The 7,762-nt window shown below is 47.7% G+C and overlaps 1 protein-coding gene across 5 annotated transcripts, besides 1 other annotated feature; it reads right to left on the reverse strand.

The window, feature by feature from the left end:
• Positions 731-1,230: an enhancer, noted in NCBI's record as "H3K4me1 hESC enhancer chrX:68378265-68378764 (GRCh37/hg19 assembly coordinates)". NCBI's record gives its function as "activates a minimal SCP1, AML or CMV promoter by ChIP-STARR-seq in primed H9 embryonic stem cells {active_cell/tissue: H9 hESC(primed)}" and the evidence as "EXISTENCE:reporter gene assay evidence [ECO:0000049][PMID:30033119]".
• Positions 3,055-7,762, reverse strand: PJA1 (praja ring finger ubiquitin ligase 1). Of its 5 annotated transcripts, NM_022368.5 has the most exons (3): positions 7,681-7,762; positions 5,255-5,775; positions 3,055-4,690 (listed from the first exon to the last, which is right to left on the reverse strand). In NM_022368.5, the coding sequence occupies exons 2-3, from the start codon at positions 5,545-5,547 to the stop codon at positions 3,616-3,618; spliced, it is 1,368 nt and encodes a 455-aa protein (NP_071763.2). In that variant the 5' UTR covers positions 5,548-5,775; positions 7,681-7,762; the 3' UTR covers positions 3,055-3,615. The 5 variants fall into 5 exon arrangements, with proteins under 5 accessions (NP_071763.2, NP_660095.1, NP_001369705.1 ...); NM_145119.4 differs by having other exon boundaries at positions 3,055-5,775; NM_001382776.1 differs by having other exon boundaries at positions 3,170-5,443.

Below are 7,762 nucleotides of genomic sequence, written 5' to 3' on the forward strand. Positions count from 1 at the left end.
TCACTGAAACAAAGGGCTAAGAGAAGGGTAGGGCCTTAGGGCACAGTAAGAGCCTTCTAATGGTTCAGCTGTAGTGCCAGCTGGGGAGACCACCTCAGGAAGTTACAGTACTCTCTTGCAAGATGTAGTGCTTTATGCCTCAAATGATTGACCAAATCTGGGGCTTTTTATTTCACAGCCAGAAAACAAGACCAGAAACCCAGAAGTAAATTGCAGTGTGTGATACCTTCAATGAATATCCAAACAACTTACTCTCATAAATGACTGCTTCATGTCTGGAGGCCCCTGAGGCCTGCTGTTCTAAAACCATGGCCCCGGGTGCCAATGACAGGTCCACTGCATCATAAACAGAAATTGCCTGACCCTTGGCCATGTGGAATATCTCATATGATGAGGAAAACAATCACAAAAGTGGGCTACGGGGTTGGCAAGTGTGCCACTTGGGGTTCCTAGTTAACAAACAACAGAAACCAATGCTAGTTAATTGAATCAGAAAAGTTTTATTGGAAAGCTATAGAGGAGCTTGGGGAATTGTCAGAGAGGCTGGAGAATCAGAAACTGGCAGGAGCAAGGGAACTGGGCAGCCAAGGACACAGCCACATCCTGCCATAGGAGCTATTGGCCGCCAGCACTGTCAGCACGGAACCCACATCACTGCCGCCCCATACCACCACTGCTGCCGCCCCTGCTGCCACCAACATAATCACCACAGCAGCACGGGGACAAATGATTCAGGACCCCCACTTCTCTGACTTTCTCCCTCCAGCCTTAAAGTACTGGGCACGAGTGTATGATGGGCTTAGTTGACATCCCAGGTCCAAGTCGCAGCTGCTCAGGGCCCCAGGAGTACAGGTCTTGGGGCCTGTGGGCTTTCCTGGTAGAGCACGCCTCAAGTCCACAAGACACTGCAGTAGCAGGTTGCTCCAACACACCAGCAGGGGGCTTTGAGCACCGGGTAAGTGTCCCTTTCTGTGCAGAGATTAATTCTGACTAAAAGGCAAATTAGGGTCGCTGCTATGCAATAGCAACAGAAAGGAAGATGATTAGGACCCAATCGTGCTCCTAAAATACCTCCTTAGGTGGTGCCCGTCGGAGCACAGCAAAGGTTAATGGCAAACCTCCAAAACCCCACCCTAAAAGGGCTCTCCAAGGACTCAGACTCCTGAGCCTCCATAACCAGCTGAGGTGCTGGCTGAAGGCCAAGGGGAAACCTAGAATGACTTGTGAGGGATGAAGTCATAAATATCAGCTTGACCAGTTGCAGAAAAAAGAGCTGCAGTTTCAACCCACGTTTCTGTACTTGCAGTGAGAGAAGAAGAATGACATCTTGCTTTTTCTAAATTGGAAAAATTTTTGATTTTGCTTATTTTGTTGTAATAATATTCATGAAAATGCACTGACACTGTAAACAATATGAAGCAAATTCATTATTTCAAGTGAAAAACAAAAGCCTCCTTCCTGACTGCTTTCCCCCAATCCTCCGTCCCTCCCTAGAAGTAACCCCGGCCATCAGTTAGGCATGTCGCCTTCCAGACATTCTTAAGCATTTTCATATAAAGTTTGGTTTTGTAAGGCTTTATTTTACACAAACACTGTACATGTTGCTCTACACTATGCTTTCTTTACTTAACACTGTCTTGGAGATCTTTTCATGTCAGTACATCCAACTTTTAACTGCTGCATAGTTTTAATTCCATACTAGCAAGGAACCCAGGTTGGGCTGAAGGACATGCACCATTTGAATATGTTGATAGATAGCTACTACCCAAACCGTTCTCCAAAAAGACTGCTATAGTTTATATGCACACCAACCCCATGAGTCTTCTCATTTCATCTCTTCCTAGCCCAAACTAGATATTATCACGAAGAAAAGCTATTGGCTTCTGATAGATGTAATATGTTTCATTGGTGTGTTAAATTACATGTCACCGATTATGAGTCAGGTTGAACATGAACAACATCCAGCCTGTTGGAGATGTGCAGAAATAGCACTCAGAAACTGTTAGTAGGAGCATGAACAAGTACAATGACTTTGGAAAGCAATTTGGCAATATCTAGTTGGGGTGAAGATGCTCAAACCCTAGGACCCAGAAATTTCACTTCCATATACTTACCTCTAGAGAACTTCACACATGTGCACAAAAGCACATCTGTTTAGTATGTTCATTGCCGCAAAATGCTGGGAAGAACCTAAGTGTTCACCAGTAGGGAAATGGATAAATAAGGTGTGGTAATTCATACAATTAAATATTTTGTATACAGCAGTTAAACTGCATGAACTAGATCCATATGTATCGAAATGGCTGTCTCCAAAACACTGTTGAATCTAAAATTCAAGTTGCAAAATGATATATACAGTCTATCGGTTATATCCATTTAAAAAACATTAATACTCTTTGATTGTGAATATTTATATACACATATACATACAAACACACACTCATATATATGTCTAAAGACATAGACAAGAAGTAAACACACCATTTTCTGGGTAGTGCTTACCTCTGTGTAAGAAAGAAGGTAAATATTATGGGCTGAGGAACTTTACCTGTGCCTAAAAAAATTTATTTATTGGAGAGAGAGAGAAGAGAGGGGTGGCGAGGGGGAGAGAGAGAGAGACAGACAGACAGACAGACAGACAGAGACATCTCTGAAGCAAATACAGCCGAATGTTAAAACCTGTTCACTCTGTGTAGGTGAGTACCTGTATTTTCCTGTAGCACTTGTGTGGCATATTTTTTCAATTCCTATCTGTGTCACTGTGTTAAGCTATAAAATTGGCATATAGCTTTATTTTTTTGGACCCATTCCCTCTAAGAGTTACTATTTTCTCAAAGGTGATTTTAACTCATTCATCCCTACATTCAGTTTGGACTTAATCCTACCATTGTTTTGTTTCTTTACCATGCTTTCTTATTGTTTCTTTCTTTCCTTCTTTCTTTTCTTCCTTCTTCATCTATTTGACCTTTTCCCCTGCAGTAGTTGGACAACCATACACTTTATTCCTACTTTTAAAGTCACTACCTTCATTTTTTTTTTTTTTTTTTGCAATTGTTGAAGTCAGCATTTCCAGTGAAACTAAAGCTTTTGATGCAAATGCAAGGGATCAATTATAAAGTCATTCAGTACCACTGCTTCAGACAAAACCAAAAAATTCCATTATACCATGTAAAACCAAAAGAACAACTTTAATAAGCTTTTACGGCACTGCAATTACAGGAACATCGACCCATAACATGCAACAAAAATGATTTTGCCTTTTGGACATATTTAACAGATAAACTTGACATTACAAGTAACAGCAACACATTCCCATTCTACTGAAGAAAACAAATGCGATTTAACTTTCAGGTTAGAAAACGTATCTTCTTACTGCAATCTCAAGTAGCATTTAGAAAGTTTAGTTTTCCCTTTTCTAACCTCTAAAAGATGATATGATTTTTAATGCAATCATACACAACTGTTTTCACATTGGAAATAATCACGAGGAATCAATAGGTTTAGGCTAACTGACTGATTGGTTTTATTTCCATTGTTAATTTCAAGAGGGCTCCTGCAGTATTGTGGATTTCAGATGGGGAAAATAATCAGACCAGGAGTAAACGGCCTTGGTCTTTAGAGTGGGGGAGGGAACATGCAGCGGCACACGGGGCAGGTGCCTGACTTCTGAAGCCAGATGGACACACACGGCTTGTGGAAATAGTGGTGGCACGGCAGCTCAGTTGCCACCTCCCCCTTCACATATTCGCTACAGCAGATGGGGCAGCACATCTCCTGACCAACTGCGCCATGATCTTCAGTGACCAGGATCTCGGGAAGAGCGTCAATGCTCTCCTTGCTTGCTGGTGGATTGGCCACCTCTACATCCACTGCGAGAGACTCCAAGTGCGCAAGGGCAGTTTCCATTGCCTGGGCCAGGCGTTCTTCAAGTGCCATGTAGGTGAGGAACTGAGGGTCCACATAGGAAATGGCTTCAGCCACTCCTAACCCATCTGCAAATCCATCAAAGAGGCTCCAATCCACTTCTAGGTCTTCGCTCACACTGGAGTCATCTTCAAGGTTGTTGTTTCCATCCAGCATGAATACCCCAGGTTGCATCAACTCGTGACCAGAATCATTATCCCCCTCACTGCTACTGTCATTCTCATGGTACTGGAGCCAAGGAATTTCTCCTTCTTCCAGGGATGCCTGCTCTTCCTGAAGAGATGGTTCTCGAACTTCTTCAAGGTAATTGCTGCCATTGCTGCCAGCACTGGCCCCGGCGCCAGCCCCGGCACTGGCACTAGCACCGGGGCCAGGGCTGGTGCCAGTGCTGGCACTCACCTTAGCCTGTGGAGGTTCCCGCTCTTCTTTCCCCGGCAGAGTCTCCCAGCTTTCGCCACTGGAGGACAGGGTTTGCTCTCGGCTTCGATATTTCCGACGCAGAGCAGCAATCCACTCTTTGTCACTGTCAGAGTCTTCGTCGCAGTATTTGTAGTAATCATCACTGTGCGTCCAGAAGTCAGGGTCGGCCATGGTGCGTCGTCGTCTCGGCACCTTTTCTGGTTTCACTTGGTCACTCCTCGCTTCCCGTTTGTCTTCAGGGTACTTTGGCTCGGGATAGCCACTTGAACTCTCGCCTCTCCCTCTTCTTGCCAGGCCATCCGAGTGGCCCTCATTGTCATTGGCGGTATCCCTCCACCTGGAAGTACTGTGTGGCATATCGTCATCATCATCAGTATCAAAAAAAATTTTTGGTTTCACGCAGTTTGGACTTGCCAGGTTTCTGATTTTGGGCCTGACCACAGGTTCCTCTGCACTCTTTGAGGTGTTTTCCCCACCACCACAAATACTCACAGGAGCCCTGCTGGGACGTGCAGGTAAATTTTGCTCCCTTCTCTCCCTCTCCGAGCTGTCACCTTTTGTAGCCAGCTTGCCTTCAGAAGACGACTGTGAGGCCACACTACTTTGTGGCAGGAAGTCAGCTCTGCTAGCTGAGCATCTTGCTGCAGGGACTGGGTCTAACTTGTCTCGCTCCTCTCTCACATCACGGCTAAAACTAGAGAAATGTGGAGGTGGCCCAGCCAAAGACCTTGCCCCTTTCTCTGGGTCATACAGCTTATCATCTTTAAACTTGCCAGTTTTCCCTCTCACTGGCGGTCGCTCAACAGGCCCAGCCCCCTCCTCCTCACTATCATCTGCCCCATAAGAGTCAATATGTCCATAGGCCATTCCTCTTCTGCTACCCGAAGCTCTGTACTCTCTTGGCGGATACCTGGAATAGTCCTCATTATCAATATTCAGGTTGGTTCCCGAACTCTCGCTGTCGTCCCAACTACGACGAGTAGTGGAAAATGGCGATCGGCTCCTCTTGGTGGTTTGACTGGGGGCTGATCTGTGCATTGGGACTTCGGAGTTCGTCTTTCTCTGGCTGGCAATCCTTTCCCGCTGGCTCGTGGGTGGCCTGAAACTGACATAAGCATGCCTTCTTCCATACCTCCTACCTGTATTGGACTGATACCCTCCTGTTGGATTGGGCCATACAGGCTTGCTAGATTCCTGACCCATCACTCTGACTTAGGAGGGTTTCCAATACAGCTGGGGCTCGGGTAGGAGGGCTCCTGCTCCCTGCACACGTTTTTGAGATGGGAAAGTAAAATCAGTTTAGAATAAAGGAGCAGGGAGATTTATTTTCACTTCAGCAGGCAGGTAACAGAAAGAATAAGGGGCCTTTAAAATTAGTTTCACTTTCTTCTAAGGCCTGGAGTAGCATTCCAGTGACTGTCAGGTGTAGACCTGGAACACATTTTTAATGTTGGCAAAATGATTACAAGACTGGGTTTGCAGGAAAGCCAGACTTAGAGGAGAATCTGACGGAAGGTTGGGGGGTGACTGGACGCTTGGAAGGTGGGTGAAGTACTGTGGAATTGTGCAACGTGGGGAAAGGAAAGACTGCTATAGTTTTTTTTATGGGGTGTCTGCATTTTTCTGAGTGCTGCAGACATACAGGAGAAATGCAAATTGGAATAGAGTGGAAAATACAGATCGCCGTGTGTGCACGAGTGCCTATGTGTCTGTCTATCAAGAGGAGAGGGACAGGTGGAAGGGGACCAGTAATCCTGCAACAGAGGGATGTTTACGTTTGTAGGGGGAAAGGGTATGAGTGTTAGAATGAGACCCATTCTGGATGTGGGTATGAAAATGACAGGCATGGGTGGGGTGGCTTTGGAGGAGAGGGGTGCGTGTATGTATGAGGAAAGGGAAGGTGTTTGTGTGTGTAGCTGTATGTGAGGCAGCTGAAACTACAGAAGGATGCCCATGTTTATGCGTATGTCACAGGCAGAGGAGTGTATGGTTGGCAATGGAGAGGAGTGTCTGAGAGTTTGTGTGTGTGTATGTTAGTCAAAATGGGAGGCAACAATGGAGAAATGTCAGTGTGAGCAAATGCAGCAGGCACAAATGGAAGCGGGGGTGGGGGGTGCGCAGCACTGGAGAGGGATGTGCTTGAGGTGGATGGAACAGAGGCAGGCAATCAAAGAATGATGCCTGCCTGTGTGGATATGGCAAGCAGGGAGGCAGGTTGTGTCCCCGTAGAAGGATTTATGTGAGTGCGAGTGTGTGCACCTCAGGGACCAGCAAAAGAGAGCTGTGTCTGACACACGTGGCAGACAGAGCAATAGAGGAGAGCATTTGAGAAGGGGGTATGAATGAGCACATGTGGCTACATATGTATGTCACTGGCCAGCGATAGAAGGATGTCCTTATGTGTGTATATGACAGGAAGGAAGAAGGAGGGCAGCCGGAGGGGGTGTGTGAATAGGCATGTGTTCGCGAGAGCACGCAGAGGCCGAGCAGGGAGGGGGCCGGTGCTAGAGGTGTGTATGTGGTAGGCGGATAGAGGAGGGGGAAGGCATGGGAGGGTGTGAGGGTGTGAGGGTGTGTGAGAGGGTGTGTGCTGCGTGTGCCTGCGCATGCGCGGGGGAGGGGAAGCACTGGAACCTTGAGGATGGAGGGGCAAGGAGGGGGCTGCAATGGAAGGCTTCTGTGCGGGGGCGCGTGCTCGCGACACACGGGGGGTGGGGGGTAGGGGGGACGCAATGTCATAAAAAGAGGTGGGAAAAGGCCATCAGCTCAAACGGGAGACCCCAACCGATGTGGCAGGGGAGAGGGAAAATGAAAGAAAAGGGCGTGCGTGGGTCTAGTTTTCCCTGAGAATAATTATTTTTTCCTTCCAATTTTTTCCCTGGGAACAGTATTTTTACCTAAAAATCTTAACCATTTACCATTTGGCAAAACAACAGCAAAATATGGGAAGAAAGGCCACGGAGTGCTCCGCAAAGGGGCCGAGGAGGGAAGAAGGAAGGAGAGGGGAGGAGAGGCAGGGAGAAGTGGGAGAGGGCCGCGACCACCACTGCCCTCCCAATAGCGATGAAAGCCACTCGAGTGGGGACCGCGCCACACCAAAGGGGTTCCGGCAGCGGAAGATGTGGCCCCAGAACAGGCCGATGGAGGACATGGGCCTCACTCTGCAGTCAGGTCCCGCGTCCGCCCCACCCCTTCCCGAGGGGCGAACCTGAAAAGCAGTTCCCAGGAACCCCCCAAAATCCTCGCCCCCGTGCCCGGCCACTCGCCCCGCGCCCGGCCACTCGCGCCACCGCCAGCGCCCGGATGAATCGAGGAAACAATCAGCCTTTCACTCACCAAGTCCAGAAAGCCACACGCTTTTCAGAGAAGCAGAGCTCTCGGATCTCCGACCGCCACGACCGCCAGAGCCGCTGCTCCC

This window comes from Homo sapiens, chromosome X (genome assembly GCF_000001405.40).
Source record: "Homo sapiens chromosome X, GRCh38.p14 Primary Assembly".
Classification (NCBI taxonomy): Eukaryota; Metazoa; Chordata; class Mammalia; order Primates; family Hominidae; genus Homo; species Homo sapiens.

Coding starts and splice junctions, on each gene's coding strand:
- PJA1 (NM_145119.4), bottom strand. CDS start 5,547: ATGGGTCAGGAATCTAGCAAGCCTGTATGGCCCAATCCAACAGGAGGG.